The sequence below is a fragment of the Homo sapiens genome, chromosome 14 (assembly GCF_000001405.40).
Source record: "Homo sapiens chromosome 14, GRCh38.p14 Primary Assembly".
Classification (NCBI taxonomy): Eukaryota; Metazoa; Chordata; class Mammalia; order Primates; family Hominidae; genus Homo; species Homo sapiens.
In genome coordinates, this window is record NC_000014.9 from 65,501,952 (window position 1) to 65,522,235 (window position 20,284).

General features: G+C 36.0%; 1 protein-coding gene across 13 annotated transcripts in view, besides 1 other annotated feature; it reads left to right on the forward strand.

The window, feature by feature from the left end:
- FUT8 (fucosyltransferase 8) overlaps positions 1 to 20,284 on the forward strand; it is a 387,280-nt gene that overhangs the window by 145,110 nt on the left and 221,886 nt on the right. The window lies entirely within an intron of this gene.
- Positions 4,795 to 5,493: an enhancer, noted in NCBI's record as "OCT4-NANOG hESC enhancer chr14:65973464-65974162 (GRCh37/hg19 assembly coordinates)". NCBI's record gives its function as "activates a minimal SCP1, AML or CMV promoter by ChIP-STARR-seq in naive H9 embryonic stem cells {active_cell/tissue: H9 hESC(naive)}" and the evidence as "EXISTENCE:reporter gene assay evidence [ECO:0000049][PMID:30033119]".

The window sequence follows — 20,284 nt, forward strand, 5'->3', positions numbered from 1 at the left end:
CCAGGCTGGAATATAGTGGTGTAATCTTGGCTCTCTGTAGTCCCGAGCTCCCAAACTCAAGCAGTCCTCTCACCTCAGCCACCCAAGTAGCTGGGACTACAGGCACCTGCCACCACACCCAGCTAATTTTTGTATTTTTTGTAGAGACGAGGTTTTGCTATGTTGGCCAGGCTGGTCTCGAACTCCTGGCCTCGAGTGATTCACCCATGTTGGCCTCCAAGTGGTCTGGGATTACAGGTGTGAGCCACCATGCCTGGCTGGGTCCACTTATTTATTGTTATTTTTTTTTTTGAGACAGAATCTCACTCTGTCACTCAGGCTGGGGTGCAGTGGTGGGATCTCAGCTCACTGCAATCTCCACCCCCCAGGTTCAAGTGATTCTCCTGCCTCAGCCTCCCGAGTAGCTGGGATTATAGGCACCCACCACCATGCCTGGCTAATTTTTGTCTTTTTAGTAGAGACAGGGTTTCACCATGTTGCCCAGGCTGGTCTCGAACTCCAGACCTCAAGTGATCTGTCCGCCTTAGGCTCCCATAGTGCTGGGATTACAGGTGTGAGCCACCGTGCCCGGCCCGGGTCCACTTATTCTGAGATAATTCTGTTACAGCTTTTTTTGGTAACTTACATTTAATCATTAGATACTCCTTCTTTGCCTCTTGAGGTATTTCTGTTTTTTAAAAGCCCTTATTTAAAATGTAAAATAAATAATGGTAAAAGTAATGATGTTACCCATAAACAAAGTTTTAAAATTGGTTGCTTATTAGCCAAACAGTGGTCTGCAGTGGTAACCAACCTCTGAAAAGATTATGCCTTTTTTACTCATTCAAAAATTCCCCCTCCTGCAGAGCTTCTTCAATTTTAATGTGTATATGAATCAGTTGAGGATCTTGGTAAAATACTGATTCTGATTCAATATGTCCCTGGGTAAGGCCTGAGATTGTGCATTTCTAACAAGCTCCCAGGGGAGGCTGGAGCTACTGGTCCCTAGACCAGACTTTTTTAACTCCCTTCCCTCCCTTGAGAACTACTGGTTTGGCTTAGATCCAGTGTTGGACTTGGATGGTTGAGTGGTGAGTGATCATAAAGTAAGAGTTTCTATTGTAAGCCTGCCCGTCTAGAAATATTTTGAGCAATTTTAGTAGAGCTATTTATAGCTGTTTCTTTCCAGGTAGGATCAGAGAAATATATGCTTCTGAATAGGTTAAATTTTCTTCCATAATATAATGCTGCCCTGAATGCAGAAATGTGCCTATCACTTGTAATTTTCCTGGAAGGCGTGAGACTGCTTGGTAATTGTGTACATATTTAAGGGAAACTGAGTAATGGAGGACAGAATAGAACAATTAACAAATTCATGCATCAGATAACTTGCTTTCATTAAAGCCATTGTTACTCTTATTTATTGATTGTTCCTGATGATAGGACATCTGCAGATTTCAAAAAGTGTGTTTAGTGTGAATTTCATACTGATGGCATTTCTCTGCTTTTGACAGTTTCATATACTTAAACTTGTCATTAAAACACAGCATCTTGCCTTGAGCCAAATGAAACTTTGAATAGAGCCCAAATTTATGAAATTGTTAATTTCTCTTTACATCTAGATTTTACTTTCAGTAATTTCTATCTGCTAACACAAATAGAAAGGTAATCTTTCATTTGGTTGCCATCCTTCAAGAGCCTCTCTCTGCCCTTCCCTCCCTGCCTTCCTGGATCTTTCCTTTTGTCTTTACAGACCTAGATTTTGAAAGGTTCTAGGTTCCTTTTGTCTGTTGATACTATGTGAATGTTATCCTTAAGTTTTTAATTCAGGCTACAACTAGACAGATAATGTGTCTCACAATTAGCTGGGGTGAGAGAGTTAAAATGGAAGTTAAGGATTCAGGGGATTCCTACAGATGGGTGAAGAAAAAAGCTCAATGTTAGGATCCTTAACAAAGCATTTTGATTGGCATATGGAGACCTTTGCGTGAACACAAATGTTCATATTTGAATATTTATAGAAGATAATCTGTCAAAATTACTGTTATTTTAATTTGCCAAGCTTGGCTGATTGCCGCAGTTGGATGTTAGTTGAATTCAAGTTGAAGAGTTGTAAATATGTTCTGGTGTGGGACATGCTTTTTGTCCTTGAAGCTGTTTGAATTTCTTACTTCTCCCACCTACACCCCCTTCTTTAAAACTGCGAGGCTTTTTTGTATTAGTTGAACTTTCATGTTCTTTTTTAGGAAAAAATATTAAAGTAGGATGTTAACTGTATGGATTAAAAATTTTTTTTAACTAAATTTGTTGACATTTGGTGATCAGGAATTGTTTAAATAATTTTAACTATTTGTCCAATCTTTGCTTCAAAGGACCTGTTCCTGGAGACTCAAATGTAGGGATATATATCTTATTTGAATGGTTTTGTGTGGGATATGTTTCACATTAACAGCAAAGAAAATGTAGACTTCTAGATAATTGATGTTTCCCCTTTCTTTTATCTCACTTGAACAGCTAATAATTTTAGTGACCCAGATTCAAGCAATAATACCTGTCTTCATAATTGTCATGTGGTTTTGTCAGCTTCTTATATTCTAGGGGAAGGAAGATAAGACTTTTTTAAATATATTGAAATAACTTGGTTAATAAATACTTTTTTTCTCTTTTTAGAAGCCAGGAACCTGTTCTCTTTCCATAGTGTCTCCTCACTCAGAAAACGTTGTGTTCTCCTGCCTCAGCCTCCTGAATAGCTAGGGTTACAGGCGCCCGCCACCATGCCCGGCTAATTTTTTTTTGTATATTTAGTAGAGACGGGGTTTCACCTTGTTGGCCAGGCTGGTCTCAAACTCCTGACATCAGGTGATCTGCCCGCCTTGGCCTCCCACAGTGCTGGGATTATAGGTGTGAGCCACTGTGCAGGAGAATGGCTTGAACCCAGGAGGCAGAGGTTGCAGTGAGCTGAGATTGTGCCATTGCACGCCGGGCTGGGCAACAAGAGTGAAACTCCGTCTCAGAAAAAGAAAGAAAGGGAAAAAAACCCCAACACACTGTATTAATTATTGATGCAGTATCACTATTCTTACTGAGACTACATTATTTTAGCTTTAGAGATGATATAGTGGCTTTCTTAAAGTTATATGACATTTTTTTGGGAGCAGGGCTGTATTCTGTGCCCCATGTACTAAGCTATCTTGTCTCATTTAACTAGCCACTGTTATCTGAATAGTTGAGTTTTACATGCGTAACCACTTGACCTGATTAGTCTTAATTTTTTTCCTGATGTTTTTATTTCTTTATCTCTTAGAAAATGACATAATTGAATCAGTTTTGTTGGTTATTACTTTAGCTAGAAACTATGTCAAGTACTACATTTCAGTTTTTTTTTTTTTTTTTTTTTTTTGAGACAGAGTCTCGCTCTGTCACCCAGGCTGGAGTGCAGTGGTGCAATCTCGGCTCACTGCAAGCTCCTCCTCCCAGGTTCACGCCATTCTCCTGCCTCAGCCTCCCAAGTAGCTGGGACTACAGGTGCCCGCCACCATGCCTGGCTAATTTTTTGTATTTTTAGTAGAGACGGGGTTTCACCATGTTAGCCAGGATGGTCTCGATCTCATGACCTCATGATCTGCCCGCCTTAGCCTCCCAAAGTGCTGGGATTACAGGAGTGAGCTACCGTGCCCGGCCTACATCTCAGTTTTATTTAGACTTTGTTTTGGAGTTTCAGGAATTTGAGGTTTCAGGAATGTATTTTGTATTTAGAAAATTAAGAGTGGAACTTTTATAGTATTTTCTGTCTTTCACAATCATCCATCTTCATTCTCATTTGACTTTTTTTTGCTATATTTTTTTTCTAGAAGATTTTATATAATCTTTTCCTGTTACTACTTTTGCCCATTCTTTTTGTGACCATCTCCAAGTCATTTCCCTTGTATCTCACCGTCATTCCTTATTATCTTCCTAGGAAAACTTATTTGTCCAACTCTGTAGCTATCCTCTGGCTGGATAACAAAATTATTAATAATTCCTTAAGATGTTACCCTAGCTACTAATTTTGTAATAGTCCACCATGTGTTCACTGTGTAAAGGGTTCAGAGGTGACTGTTGTACCTAATGCACCACAGATGTGGAAGTAATAATAAAATTTACATATATGTAAGGTGAAAATATTGCTAATACGTTCCCTTGGGTCTGGCCATTCTGATATGCTTGCTAAGTTTGGAGGCTTATTTTGTAATGGTTCTTTCGGATTTCTTAAGGTGAATTAGACATTATGTTTACCTTGAATTTTAATTGGTATACTTTTGGTTAAGTAGGTTAAAAGTCAATGGAATAAAAGTTAAGCCAGAAATATAAAAAGTAATAAGCCATTTTTCAGTGTGATTTGAAAAACAATTTAGCTGTATTTCTTGCTATAAAAAAAGAAGTAAAGAACACTATACAGTGGACTAAGATTTTCTAAGTAAACTAATTTTGATAAAGGTTAATTCCATGGTGATAGCAGATGTTGGGGATTGGCATCCATATGTCAGATTTCACATAAAAATTTAGCTTTCTACTGTTTTTTATTTCCTTAGGAAGAACTATAAAACTTAAATTTGTATAGAAGGTATGATAATGCTATTTTAATAAACAGAATTTGTTATTTTGAAAATTGGGTAGTAAGGACAACCAGTGAATTGTACTACTTATTGATTTTTTTAAAAAAATGTATTTTTAATTTTCGCGGGTACATAGTAGGTATATGTATTTATGGGATACATGAGATGTTTTGACACAGGCGTGCAATGTGTAAAAATCACATCATGGACAATGCAGTATCCCTCCCCTCAAGCATTTATCCTTTGTGTTACAGACAATCCAAATACACTCTTAGTTATTTAAAAATGTACAATTAAATTATTGATTGCGGCAGCACCCCTCACACAGGGGCACCAGCTGCCGGGGTCTGCCCATAGACCCTGACCCGGCCACGGATGAATAAAGTACACTGACACACAGATATTCTGTTTTGCCAGTCCAGCTGAGGGTGTCTCAGCTGTTTACAGACTCCCTGGAGGGTTCTGTAAACAGTTGTGACCATGACCTCGATCAGCAAGTGAGACTTGCATTTATGCGGTAAGATTAATTAACAAAGGCTTGAGTCAACACCATTAGAGGTAATTGACATTGTGGACTTTCCAAGTAAAAAGCCCTTAATCACCCATGGCACATCAAAGGTTAGTCTTAAGATTATATGAGTAAACAAGCTAGCTAGGTAAACTACTCTGCCTTCCTTTATTACTAGTTTAATTTGTTTAAAGGTAAAGATCAGGTTGCCTTCAACCATGTCTATTACTGAAGTTATGCAAACTCTCGGCCTTCCAAGAAGATTTGTGTCTGTCTCTATAACTATCTTCAATATTTTTCCCACCAGCCTGATTGAACCCCAGTAATTGATTATAGTCACCCTGTTGTGCTGTCAAATACTAGGTCTTATTCATTCATCCTGTTTTTTTGTACCCATTAACCATCCCCACCTCTCCCTCATCCCACCACTACCTTTCCCAGCCTCTAGTAACCATCCTTCTTTTTCCATGGGTTCAGTTGTTTTGATTTTTAGATCCCACAAATAAGTGAGAACATGAGATGCTTGTCATTCTTTGCCTGGCTTATTTCACTTAACGCAGTGACCTCTGGTTCCATCCATGTTGCACATGACAGGATCTCATTCTCTTTTATGGCTGAATAGTACTCCACTGTGTATATGTACCACATTTTCTTTGTTCATTCGTCTGCTAATGGACACTTAGCTTGCTTTCAAATCTTGGCTATTGTGAACAGTGCTACAGTAAACATGGGAGTGCAGATATCTCTTTGATACACTGATTTCCTTTTTTGGGGCTATATACCTAGCAGTGGGATTGCTAGATCATATGGTAGCTAAATTTTTAGTTTTTTTAAGGAACGTCCAAACTCTTCTTCATAGCAGTTGTACTAATTTACATTCCCACCAACAGTGTATGAGGGTTCTCTTTTTTCCACATCTTTGCCAGCATTGATTATTGCTTGTCTTTCGGATAAAAGCCATTTTAACTGGAGTAAGATGATATCTCATTGTAGTTTTGATTTGCATTTCTCTGATGATCAGTGATGTTAAACACTTTTTTTTTTTTTTTTTTGAGATGGAGTCTTGCTCTGTTGGCCAGGCTGGAGTGCAGTAGCATGATCTTGGCTCACTGCATCCTCCACTTCCTAGATTCAAGCAATTCTCCTGCCTCAGCCTCCCGAGTAGCTGGGACTACAGGCACACACCGCTATGCCTGGCTAATTTTTTGTTTTTGTATTTTAGTAGAGACAGGGTTTCACCATGTTGCCGAGGCTGGTCTCAAACTCCTGAGCTCAATCTGCCTGCCTCAACCTCCCAAAGTGCTAGGATTACAGGCGTGAGCCACTGTGCCCGGCCGAACACTTTTTCATACGTGTGTTTGCTAGTTGTATGTCTGTTTTTTTTTTGAAAATGTCTGTTCAGAACTTTTGCCTGTTTTTAAATTGGATTATTAATTTTTTCCTGTAGAGTTGTTTGAGTTTTTTTTTTTTTTTTTTTTTTTTTTGAGATGGAGTTTCGCTCTTGTTGCCTAGGCTGGAGTGCAATGGCATAATCTCGGCTCACTACAACCTCCACCTCCCGGGTTCAAGCAATTCTGTTGCCTCAGCCTCCGAAGTAGCTGGGATTACAGGTGCCTGCCACCACGCCCAGCTAATTTTTTGTATTTTTAGTAGAGACGGAGTTTCACCATGTTGGCCAGGCTGGTCTTGAACTCCTGACCTCAGGTAATCCACCCGCTTCCGCCTCCCAAAGTGCTGGGATTACAGGCCTGAGCCACCGTGCTTGGCCTAGCTTCTTTTATATTCTGGTTATTAATCCTTTGTCAGATGGGTAGTTTGCAAATATTTTCTTCCATTCTGTGGGTTGTTTGTTTGTTGCTTGTTTACTTTGCTGTGGAGAAGCTTTTTAATTTGATGTGATCCCGTTTGTCCAGTTTTGCTTTGGTTGCCTGTGCTTGTGGGGTATTACTTAAGAAATCATTGCCCAGACCGATACCCTGGAGAGTTTCCCCAGTGTTTTATTTTAGTCATTTCATAGTTTGAGGTCTTAGATTTTTGTCTTTAATCAATATTTTGATTTGAGTTTTGTATATGGTGAGAGATAGGAGTCTAGTTTCATTCTTCTGCATATATATATCCAGTTTCCAAGCACCATTTATTGAAGAAACTGTCTTTTCTGCCATGTATGTTTTTGGCACCTTTGTCAAAAATGAGTTCACTGTAGGCGTGTGGATTTTTTTCTGGGTTCTCGGTTCTATTGTTCTGTGTGCCTGTTTTTATGCCAGTACCATGTTGTTTTGTTTATTATAGCTCTGTAATATAATTTGAAGTCAGTTAATGTGATTCTTCTAGTTTGGTTCTTTCTGCTTAGGATGGCTTTGGTTATTCTGAGTCTTTTGTGGTTCCCTATAAATTTTAGGGTTTTTTTTATATCTCTGTTAAGAGTGTCATTGGTATTTTGATAGGGATTGCATTGAATCTGTAGATTGCTTTGGGTAGTATGGACGTTTTAACAATATTGATTCTTCCAACCCATAAACATGGAATATCTTTCCATTTTTTGGTATCCTCTTCAATTTCTTTCATCAATATAGTATAGTTTCTGTTACAGAGATCTTTCACTTCTTTGGTTAATTCCTAGGTATGTATTTATTTATTTATTTTGGTGGCTATTGTAAATGGGACTGCTTTTTAAATTTCTTTTTCAATTTGTTCACATTTCACATATAGAAATGCTACTTATTTTTGTATGTTGATTTTGTATCTTGCAACTTTACTGAATTAGTCAGTTCTTAATAGTATCAATTCTAATAGTTTTTTGGTGGATTTTTTATGTTTTTCCAAATATATGATCATATCATCTGCAAACAAGGATAAGTTGACTTCTCCTTTACAATTCGGATGCCCTTTATATCTTTCTCTTGTCTAATTGCTCTAGCTAGGACTCCCAGTACTATAATGAATAATAGTGGTGAAAGTGGGCATCCTTGTTATGTTTCAGATCGTAAAAGACAGGCTTTCAGTTTTTCCCCATTCAGTGTGATACTAGTTGTGGGTCTTTTGTATATGGCTTTTATTATGTTGATGTGTGTTTCTTCTATACTCATGTTTTTGAGGGTTTTTATTAGAAGGGATGTTGAATTTTATCAGTGTTTTTTCAGCATTAATTGAAATGGTCATATGGTTTTTGTCCTTCATTTGTTGATACGATATATGGTGATTGATTTGTATATGTTGAACCATTCTGGTGTCCCAGGGATAAATCTCACTTGGTCATGATGAATGATCTTTTTAATGTGTTGTTGAGTTCAATTTGGTAGTATTTCGTTATGGATTTTTGTATGAATATTCATCAGGGATATTGGTCCTTAGTTTTCTTCTTTTGATGTGTCTTTTTATGGTTTTGGTACTAGGGTAATACTGGCCTTGCAGGATGAGTTTGGAAGTATTCCCCCTCCTCTATTTTTCGGAATAGTTTCAGTAGGATTGGTATTAGTTCTTCTTTAAATGTTTGGTAGAATTCAACAGTGTAACCATTGGGTCATGGCTTTTCTTTACTGTCAGACTTTTAATTATGGCTTCAATTTCATTATTTATTATTGGTCTGTTTGGGTTTTGGATTTCTTCATGTTTCAATCTTGGTAGGTTGTATGTGTCTAGGAATTTGTCTATTTCTTCTAAGTTTTCCAATTTATTGGCATATATTTGCTAGTAGTAGCCACTAATGATTCTTCGGATTTCTGTGATATCGGTTGTACTGTCTCCTTTGTTACCTCTGATTTATTTGGATCTTCTTTTTTCCTTAGTCTGGCTTAAGGTTTGTCCGTTTTAACTTTTCCAGCAACCAACTTTTTGATTCATCTTTTGTATTTTCTTTATTTCAATTTCCTGTATTTCTGCTCTCATCTTTATTATTTATTTTCTTCTACTACTTTTGAGTTTGTTTTCCTCTTGCTTTTTTAGTCCTTAAAATGCATTGTTAGCTTGTATATTTAAAGTTTTTCTTCCTTTTTTTGATGTAGGCACTTGTAGCTATAAAATTCCCTCTTAGTACAGCTTTTGCTGTATTCCATAGGTTTTGGTATATTATGTTTCCATTATCATTTGTTTCAAGGAAGTTTTCAATTTTCTTCTTAATTTCTTCATTGACCCACTTGTCATTCAGGGGCAAATCATTTAATTTACATATATTTGTATAGTTTCCAAAATTCCCCTTGCTATTGATTTCTAGTTTTATTTTATTGTGGTCGGAGAAGATGTTTGACACTATGTGGGTTTTTTTTTCTTTAAATGTTTTAAGACTTGTTTTGTGACCTAACATATGGTCTATCCTTGAGAATGATCCATATGCTAAAGAAAAGAATGTATATTCTGTAGCTGTTGGAAGAAATATTCTTTAAATATCTATTAGATCCGTTTGGTCTATTTCTTTGTTGATTCTCTGCCTGGAAGATCTGTTCAGTGCTGAAAGTGGGATGTTGAAATCTCCAGCTATTATTGTATTGGAGTCTTTCTCTCTTTAGCTCTAATAATATTTGCTTTATATATCTGGGTGCTCCACTGTTGGGTGCATATATATTAAAGTACTTTTTTATATCCTCTTGCTGAACTGACCTCTTTATTATTATATAGTGACCTTCTTTGTCTCTTCTTACAGTTTTTGTCTTGAAATCTATTTTGTCTGATACAAATATAGCTTCTCCTACTCTGTTTTGGTTTCCATTGGCATGGAATATCTTTTCCATTTCTTTATTTTCAATCTGTGTGTGTCTTTATAGGTGAAGTGTGTTTCTTGTAGGCAACAGATTAATGGGTCTTCTTTTTTTAAATCCATTCAGCTATCCCGAGTCTTGTGATTGGTGAGTTTAGTCCATTTACACTCAGTGTTATTATTGACAAACAAGGACTTATTCCTGCCATTTTGTAATTTGTTTTCTGGATGTTTTGTGGTCTTCCCTTACGTCTTTCTTTCCTTCCTGTCTTCCTGGATGTTACAGCCTACTACCCACCTGGGGTATATGGTATAGCCTATTGCTTCTAGGCTACAAGCCTGTACAGCATGTTACTGTACTGAATATTGTAGGCAATTGTAACACAGTAGTAAGTATTTGTGTACCTAAACGTAGAAAAGGTACAGTAAAATTATGGTATTTATAATCTTTATTTTTGTAGACAGAGTCTTGCTCGGTTGCCCAGGGTGGAGTGCGGTGGCGCGATCTCGGCTTACTGCAACCTGCGCCTCCTGGTTCAAGCAATTCTCGTGCCTCAGCCTCCCAGGTAGTAGCTGGGATTACAGATGTGCACCACCATGCCCAGCTAAGTTTTGTAATTTTAGTAGAGACGAGGTTTCACCATATTGTCCAGGCAGGTCTTGAACTCCTAGCCTCAAGAGATCCCCTGCCTTGGCCTCCCAAAGTGCTGGAATTATAGGCATAAGCCTTCGTGCCTGGCTGGGTATTTATGATCTTATGGGACCACTCATATATGCAGTTCGTTGTTGATTAAAACCATCATTATGTGGTGCATGACTTTACTTTGTATGACAAGTTACTGAACGTTCTAAAGGAGATATGAAAGTAACTTAGGTTTGATTTTTGTTTGAAATTGTGATATTTTTGCCGGCTGTGGTGGCTCATGCCTGTAATCCCAGCACTTTGGGAGGCCGAGGCGGGTGGATCATGAGGTCAAGAGTTCAACAGCAGCCTGGCCAAGATGGTGAAACCCCGTCTCTATTAAAAATACAAAAATTAGCCGGGCATGGTGGCGGGCGCCTGTAATCCTAGCTACTCAGGAGGCTGAGGAAGAGAATTGCTTGAACCTGTGAGGCGGAGGTTGCAGTGAGCCGACATCACGCCACTGCACTCCAGCCTGGGCGACAGAGTGAGACTCTGTCTCAAAAAAAAAAAAAAAAAAGAAAAAGAAATTGTGATGTTTCTTTCCCATTCCAAGACCATCCTTTTCTTAGTACTCTTTCTTTCCTTTAGAGCTAGGCTAGTGGGGAGCAGAATCATGAGCTTAAATTAGTGGAATATGTGGACATTGGGTAGCATGGGGAGAAGTGTTTCAGCTTCTTTCTCTAAACTTTAATTTCCATTCTTTGGTGCTTAAAGTGGTGTTTTAATCACTTGCATCTGGTTCAAGAGGGTGTCTGATTCTTTGCAAAGCTATTCTATCGACAAAAAGCATTCACAGTGTTTTCCTAGTGGATTAATATTGGGTTGACATCTATTTGCATGTTAAGTGCTGTATTGTTATCATTTGGCATTTATTAACTAGCCTTGATATACTGTGCATTAGTTGGCATTTATACATGTTTTAGTCCCTGCTCTAGAGAAAATATCCTAAAAGGGAGCTAATTGTGGGAAATAGAGCCTTTTCTCACATATCCAGCTGCCTGGGAGCTTTCCTCTAAAGACCTTTAAGCATTGGAAAGTCATTCTTCAAGTAGTTAAGATAGGAAATGACAGTCGTGTAAAATAGGGCCTTAAAAACAACTACCAGGTAGACTCATGATAGTGACCCTACAGGGAATTAACAACATAGATATGATTTTCTCAAGGAGTTGGGAATCTTCTTATTAAAATTAGAGCAGTGAAATTGTTCCCTTCTCTGTAGAATATAAAAACAAAATCAAAAACAAAACAAAAAATCGATCAAACTTCTCTCCGTGTGTTAACAAAACGACCATGAGATCTGTGGAGGAAGGAAAAAGGAGAAAACTTTATTTTCAGAGTAACAATCTGCAGATAAGGGAAAGTAACCTCTGGTGGAACTGTAAGCACGTGCTTCACCGAAGGGGAGTGAACAGTAGTATTTAAGCCTTCTAGGGTTTGTTTTACATGCATATCCATCATGTAATATGAATTGTTTGAGGAATGTCTATGAATATATATGGGGAAGTCTAGTGCATGCACAGTGAGTTAACATATAAGTAACATACATCCCATCTTCGCTTCAGGGCACAATTTTAGCATTAAAATGAGGTGGAATTCAGCTCTTTATGTCAACAGGTGAACTATAGAGCACAAAGATATTTTGTATGCAGTCTCTATAAGCTGGCTAAAACTGGCTTAGGGTCTGTAGCATTTTAGCAGGAAAGAATGTTTGTAGGACTGGCCTCCTGTCCTATCAGTGCTGTTGGTAGGACCCTCAAGGCAGGGTTGTCCCAGTTGTCTTTATCAGGCAGTTTACCAAGATCGGTTGGGCAGTTTCTCTAGAACAGATTTCTGCCTAATAGAAGAGGAAAACTTCATGGCAGTTAATAAGAAAGAATGTTTGTAAGAATGGCCTCCTGTCCTATCAGTGCTGCTGGCAGGACCCTCAAGGCAGGGTTGTCCCAGTTGTCTTTATCAGGCAGTCTACCAAGATTGGTTGGGCAGTGTGTCTCTAGAACAGATTTCTGCCGAATACAAGAGGAAAACTTCATGGCAGTTAACAAACCCTTTGGTAGTTAACAATGTACGTATGTATGACCAAACCCTTGTTCCTGCTATGGCCATTTAATTTTCTCTCTTGAGGGTCTTATCTTAGCTACAGAAAGTCCATCTTATCTATCATTGTTGACCTTTGGATCACAGCTAGTAGTGGTTTGAGGACAGAATGTATCAATGTATCAATAGTTTCTGTCTTGTCTTCACCGCTGAGTAGGTATACAAAACTTAGTCAAGTCAAATCACTTCTTTTTTTTTTTTTAAATTTATTTTTTTATGATACTTTAAGTTTTAGGGTACATGTGCACATAGTGCAGGTTAGTTACATATGTATACATGTGCCAAGCTGGTGCGCTGCACCCACTAACTGGTCATCAAATCACTTCTTTACCTCAGTTTTCTCCTCTTCAAAATGGAGATAATGCCTACCTTACAAATTGATGGTGAGAATTAAATGAGGAAATGTGTGTAAAAATGTGTTGTATGCCTGGTACCTCTTTGGCATGCAACTTTGTGTTTTCCTCCTTCCTTTGACATTAGTAATATTTGGATTTCACTCTTTGAATTCAGTGGTTACTTGGTTGTGGAATCAAATTATTTTGTCTTTCCAAACCTCATTTTTCTCTAACATAAAATCAGTAATACACACTTTATGAAGTAGTGGTTGAAATTCAGTTCCTAGTGTAGTCTAGGAAGATTTTCTTGAATCTGAATGTCAAATTGCTAAAAACTTGTATAAATTTGTGAGTTTTGCTGTGTAGATCTTTTGGACATGAAAATACAATATCTTTTTAAGAATTAAACAGTAGGAGAAATATACTAAGGGAAAGTAAGTCTCTAGAATGTTTTTTGGGGGACTCTACAATAGCTTACTGCATTACAGTTACTGTAATTCATCAAGATAATAGGGAAATTATGCATCCAAAGGATTTATTTACTTGAAATAGCACCTCTAGAAGGGATATTCATAGAGCAGTAATATAAGAAGTGAGACACTTGAACATACCTTTTTCTTTGCTTTTTTTTTTTAATCTTAGGTAACTTCAGATTTTAATAAGATTTCACTATATAATGTTTTGTGGGCAGATATTGTAAAATCTACTGAAAATTTCCCAGTTTAGTAATTACCAAAGAAATAATAAACCAATATTAAAGTTCAGTTACAAAATTAAAGTCAGGACTCACAAACAAATCATGTTAAATGAGTTATGAATTAAATTAGTGTTATTGTTGAGTTTAACTGTGTGTCAAATCAATATAATTTCTTTGACATAATCACAGAATAGAAATCAATGTATGTGTGGTACATTGTATTGAAGGGTTACAAAGTGATGAACTAGTGAGTATGTATTTTTAAGGATGTTATAGACCTATGAATTTCAATTATATTTGTTTAAATGTGAATCACTTTTATAAGCAGCAGCAAAATATCATTGCCTTTGTATTTTGTAGCAGGTGATTTAGCTTTTGTGTATATTCAGATAAATATAAATTTTAATTTATTTTATTTTGACTAAAGTTTAAGAGATAATTTAGCATATTGTTTGCTAATCACTTTTAAGTAATCTCAGTTTAGCTGGTTGTGGTAATGTGTGCCTGTAGTCCCAACTACTCTGGAGGCTGAGGTGGGAGGATCCCTTGAGCCTAGGAATTTGAGGATGTTGTGTGCTATTGTTGTGCTTGTGAATAACCACAGCATGGTACTCTAGCCTAGGCAACATAGCAAGACCTTGTCTCTTATAAAAAGAAAAGGAAAAAAAAAAGAAATTTCAGTTAATAATTTTATTTGACATGTTACAGCTCCTTATTTGACCCTGAAAATGTTGCAGTGAGAATAGCCTTTGCATGCATAGTCCTTAACCCTGAAGAAAAGGATAAAAGAAAATAAAATCAAAACTTAGTTGAAAATCAGGAAGTGCGGACAAGCTTCTGTCGAGAAAATGGAGGTGAATTTATGTGTAAATGTTAAAGACATATGGATATGTTGATTATAGCCATCTTTAAGTGTTTGTGTTATAGGCAGACGGTTTGCAGAGTTAGAGTAAATGGATTAAAGATATTGCTAAAATTAAAATAACTTTATTTTTCAAGTTTTTTTGGTATTATGTTTGTTTTTTCAGGAAACCAGATACTTAAATATAAAACTCGGTAATTATTTTTGTAACTATTTTATTAATAATTTAATGTTAACTACTAGAAGTCTATAATTTTACATTGAATATACAAAATATTATTTGGGCAAATGATTATTAAAATAATATCATAGTAATATACATCCCCCCTTTTTGTTATGGTAAAATGTACATAACACAATTCACCATTTAATCATTTTTAAGTATACAGTTCATTGTTATGCAACCATCATCACTATCTCCAGAACGCTTTCATCATCCTGAAATGAAACTGTGTGCCCGTTACATAATAATTCCCCGTTACTTATTATCTCCCCTTTAATCACTATTCTACTTTCTCTCTCTCTGATTTTGACTATTCTAAGTATCTCGTATGAGTGGAACCACACAAAATATGTCCTTCTAGGACTGGCTCATTGTATTTAGCATAATGTCTTCAAGGTTCATCCATATTGTAGCATGTATCAGAATTTCAGTTCTATTTCACGATGATTAATATTCCGTTATATGTGTATACCACATTTTGCTTATCCATTTATCTATCAGTGGACATTTACATTGTTTCTACTTTTGGCTATTGTGAATAATTCTGCCATGAACTTTGGTATGCAAGTATCTGTTTGAGTGTGTTAATATATTTTCTATATATTTTAACAGAAATTTGTTAGTTTACATATTTTTACTTAAACGAGCTAAATATCTGAATTTTCAGTGTTATCAGTGAATATTTATTGAATACCTTGTATATTGTAAGTATTGTGGGGGTATAAAGAGTTACAATATCATGAAACTATTGTTTTAAAGAATTTACAGTCTAATAACAGTAATAGGGTGTGTTTATAAAGACACAGAACCTGGTAGCATATGCTTTTTGAAGCTGAAGAGATATCTGAGCTCTGATGCAAACCAGCATCGTTTCTTGCCAAAATTTTTGTTTGTTATCCTGAGCAGTTAGGAGGCAGATACATGGCCACAGTCAACATATGCATATTCCATTCAAGCATAGCATTTAACCTTCAAGGATGAATTTTGGGGTGATCATATCAACATGGAAATTAGATCATGACATATCTTTAAAGTCTTCTCCATGGACCTTATCTTTAGGTGAGTTACTTTCCTTCTACCAAACTGCCACCTTAACTCTGACCTCATCTCCTATCCCCTACTCCCACCTTGCACTGGGTAATTTTTTGTTGTGGATACATTTCTTATGTATGTAAACTGGCTTAAGTGTAAACAAGGTAAAAGTCATAAGGAGGAACTACATATATGTTTCAAGGTTCTTTCCAGCTTTATGATTCTAATTTAATCCCTGTGGTACCTGTGTGTTGCCAGTGAAAGAAAACAGAGTTAGCATGCTTAGAGGTTTCACAGCAGAGCTGCTTTGTGGTGATTTTTAAAGGCTAAAACTTTGAAATAAAAACAGTTTGGTATGTTTCAGTGGTCTCTTTTTCTTCTCTTTCAGAGTACTTTTCCTGGAAAAGCAGAATAAGTCTTTTATGAATTTAGTCATAACTTTGCAGTTTAATTGGACTTTTAGGGTTTTTCTATGTGTGCAAGCTGGACCTTTTGAAGTTTAACACTGGAATACTAGCATGAGAGTGTTCCTACTCTTAATTTCCACTGAGTTAGACCAAAGGAAAACATATATTTTAGATTCATATTTTCTTTGAATGATGTTTTGGAGCTCAAGATGAACTTTAAAAAACACAGCTAAGCAGAGCTTCTAAAAGGTAATACTGTAGTAGTATTTTTTTCCTCCATGTTAATCTACTTGGCTCCCCATAGTGAGCTTGAACTGTGAGTGGTAAAGACTCATTACTTTGTAGGGTGTCCTGGCCCTAAAAATAAAACTTCTTTCTCATAGCCTACAGCCTATGAATGTGATTATTCTGTAAGCCTCTGTAAGTCACTGTAAGAACAGTGACTGTGGCTTCATTTTTATTTATTTTATTTTTCTTATTTATTTATGAGACAGTCTCACTCTGTCGCCCAGGCTAGAGTGTAGTGGCTTGATCTTGGCTCACTGCAATCTCTCCTCCTGGGTTCAAGTGAATCTCGTGCCTCCACCACCCAAATAGCTGGGATTACAGGTGTGCGCCACCATGCCAGGCTAATTTTTGTATTTTTTTTGTAGAGATGGTGTTTCGCCATGGGCCTGTCTCAAACTCCTCCTCTCAAGTGATTCACCTGCTTTGGCCTCCCAAAGTTCTGGGATTATAGGCATGAACTACTGTGCCAGGCTTGTGGTTTCATTTTTGTAAAACGTTTAGTAGAGTTGGTGCCTTGCACATAATAAAATGTATCTTCTGAGGTTATGATTCCACATAAAAAATGAAAACTTTAGGAGATAATTACAGAAGTGAAGAAAGATGAATGAACAAGGATGGCCATCTATTCATTCAACACATAATGAGGTCTACTATGTATCAGACACACCACTAAGTACTGGAAATACAGCAATGATAAATTAGATAAATTAGGGAATTTAGGTTGTCTAGAACAGTGAATGGCATGTAATAGGCGCTTAAAAATATTTGAATACATGAAGGTCTGTTTTGTAGAAAATGATTTATGGTATGGAACATTTTAGTGAGGAAGTGGAACGTGTCCCATCGTATTAGGGACACGTTCATTCATTAAAAAAATGGAAACAAACTGTTTATTAATATGGAGACTACTTAAGTCGGTTATGGTAATACATAGAATGTAGTACAGAAAAGCCCTTAAAAAATGAGATATTTATTGGCTGACACAGAAAGATGTTCTAATTTACCTAATGTTGAATTAAACAAAGTAAGCTGTTGAATAGGATGTATGGAATGATTCCTTTAATGTAAGGTTATTTATATTTCTATAAAATGTCACAAGGTATGGTGGAGAAATGATAACAATGAATGATTCTAACAGGAGGTAAGTTTTTCGCTGATCTTTGCTGTATTCTTTATGCACTTCTGTGATTGTTTTACCATGATCATGTGCTACTGTTTAAAAATAATAAAGCTGCTTAAAAATGTTTCTGGATAAATTTTTTTAAACTTAATATTCTATCTATAAATAGTGTTACTGGTTGATGGTCCGTTGTCCTGTAAATGTAAAAGTGTTATTAAAGAATTCTGCATTTTCTTTCTAAAGAAATATAGTTAACCAGAGTTCACTTTGATACTCAACATTTACCTTTAATGTTTATTATTTATTATTCATTTTTTAATATATTTTTTTGAGACAGGGTCTTCCTCTTTCACTGAGGCTGGAGTGCAGTGGCATGATCTTGGCTCACTCCAGCCTCCATTTTCTGGGCTCAAGTGATCCTCCCACTTCAGCCTTCCAAGTAGCTGGGGCTACAGGAGCGTGCCACTACACCTGGCTAATTTTTGTAATTTTTGTAGAGGCCGGGTTTTGCCGTGTTGCCCAGGCTGGTCTCAGACTCCTGGGCTCAAGCAGTCTGGCTGCCTTGGCCTCCTAAAGTGCTGGAATTACAGGCATGAGCCACCATGCCCAGCCTACCTTTAACATTTAACAACATTTACCTGTAACACTCATAGAGTGTAGTTTTAAAATGAATAATAGCATTTACAAATGTGTAGTAGCAGGAATATATTTAATAATAATTTTAATTTTGTTTTGGAGGTACTTTGAGGGAGGTATGTCTACATAATTAAATGGCAAAGAACGGAAGTTTTTAAGTTTTTTTGTATACTTATAAATTTAATTTGGATTTAGTTATTAATAAATATTAGGTTGAACTGCACTTTTAATCTAAAGATTTATTTTGGCACTCATTTTTGCTTATTATGACTTCTCATTTTCTTAATTAGAGGAGAGAAGACATGTTCTTTGGGCGTCCTGGTTATGTCTAGTCAATAGTCTTAGTTTTCACAGGATAGTACGGAATGTTAAATTATTACTACCTATTTTCTTAATTTATTTCAATAACTTGCTGTTTTTATCAGGAAAAATTAATGAACTAATCAAAATGTTCCATTCTATACATAGTTTGCTCATAACAAACTCATTTTTTTAGAAATGTTATAGCAACCTTATTTTTTTTTTATCCTCCACAAGATCATTTTAGTGTAGTTACTGGAGTTTCAAATCATACGTAATTCAGTTTGAAAACTATGTCTATGGTTCTGTTTAGTAACATTTTAGATGATATTATTTAAAAAGGTTAACATTGCTTAGTTAAAAGTTATCATTATTCTTTTAAAACAAGTTTTATTTTTCAGACCACACAGTCCTTTGAATTCTGATGCATCAAGTTTCAAACAGTTTTTTGTTTTTGGGGATACTTACCTATGAGATCTCCAGAAATTGTATATTTAGCTATGAAAATCTTCAGAAACTGTGAGCATATTAAGCACACATATAAGACTGTAAACCTTAGAGGATGATTTTAGATTTCTTTCTCTTTTTTACTTTTTATTTTTGAAAAAAATAAGCCCATTCCAGTTTAATGAATATGATAATTTGAAATCCAGGTAGAATAATGTATCTCATTTTCGCCCTCATATTTTAAAGTGAGATAGTTTATAAAATGGAGAATAAATCATGTTGTTAGATGTTGACTCTTATAGTATAAAAGTATGAATCTTATATAGTGATATTCTATTTTAAATGCTTTATATGTTTAAATAATTTAGAAGAAGGGAATTATAGAAAAACTGAAACAAAATGCTTGAATTAATACTATAAACATGATGTTAGCATTTATAATTGATATTTTAAATTGTTACATAAAAATGTATGAGTATGGATAAAAACATATATATTAGTCTAAATGAAATTAATGGCTTCTTTTATACACTCACAATATTTATACTTTTCTTTAAGTATATCAGATGTTGATAAGTGTTCTAGAGAAAAGTAAGTACATTAGGGATGGTAATAAGGAATGTTGGAATTGGGAAGATGCCATTTTTATATAGAATGGTCAGGGAAGATTTCACTAAGAAGGTGATAGTTGAGTGATGCTCTGAATTTGGTGAGGGACATAGCTGTGGGGATATTCGGATAAGTGTGTTTCAGACAAGATCAAAAGCCCTGTGTTGAGTGCAGGCTCTGCATATTTAGAAACATAAGAAATTTAACTGTGCATGGCACAAGGTGGTCTTATATGTTAAAAAAATACATTTTTTTGGTTTCATTTTTGCTTTCCTGGTACATTCTAAGATATGCTGAAATTGAGATTTACTTGTCTTGCTTATTGTATCTTGGGCACCCACTACAGTGCCAAACACATGGCAGGCAATTTGTTGTGGATGATGAGAAAGAATTTTGGAGGAATCTTCTTCTTTTTTTTTTTTTTTAAATTCATACTACCAAATTATTTCAAGCTACAGAGGTCTTTAGAGATCATTTAGATAACTCTTTTGGATGTTATGCATGAGAAGACATGTCATTAAATAGAATGACTTCCAAAAGTCACCATTAATTAGTAGCAATCTTGAGTTGGCAAAGATTTTTGGTCTCTTAGTCTAACTTTAGTCCATTGATGGGGTGATCCTTTTGTTTCAGTTGTCTCATCTATGCATGGGAAGATACTTGCTATGGAAAACCTCCTTGCTGTGGAAGAACTCCTTGCATCTAGAATCAGATTGCTTGGTTGAAATTCCTGTTTGACAGTACTAGCTTTGTGATTTTCTCCCTCTCCCGACTTTT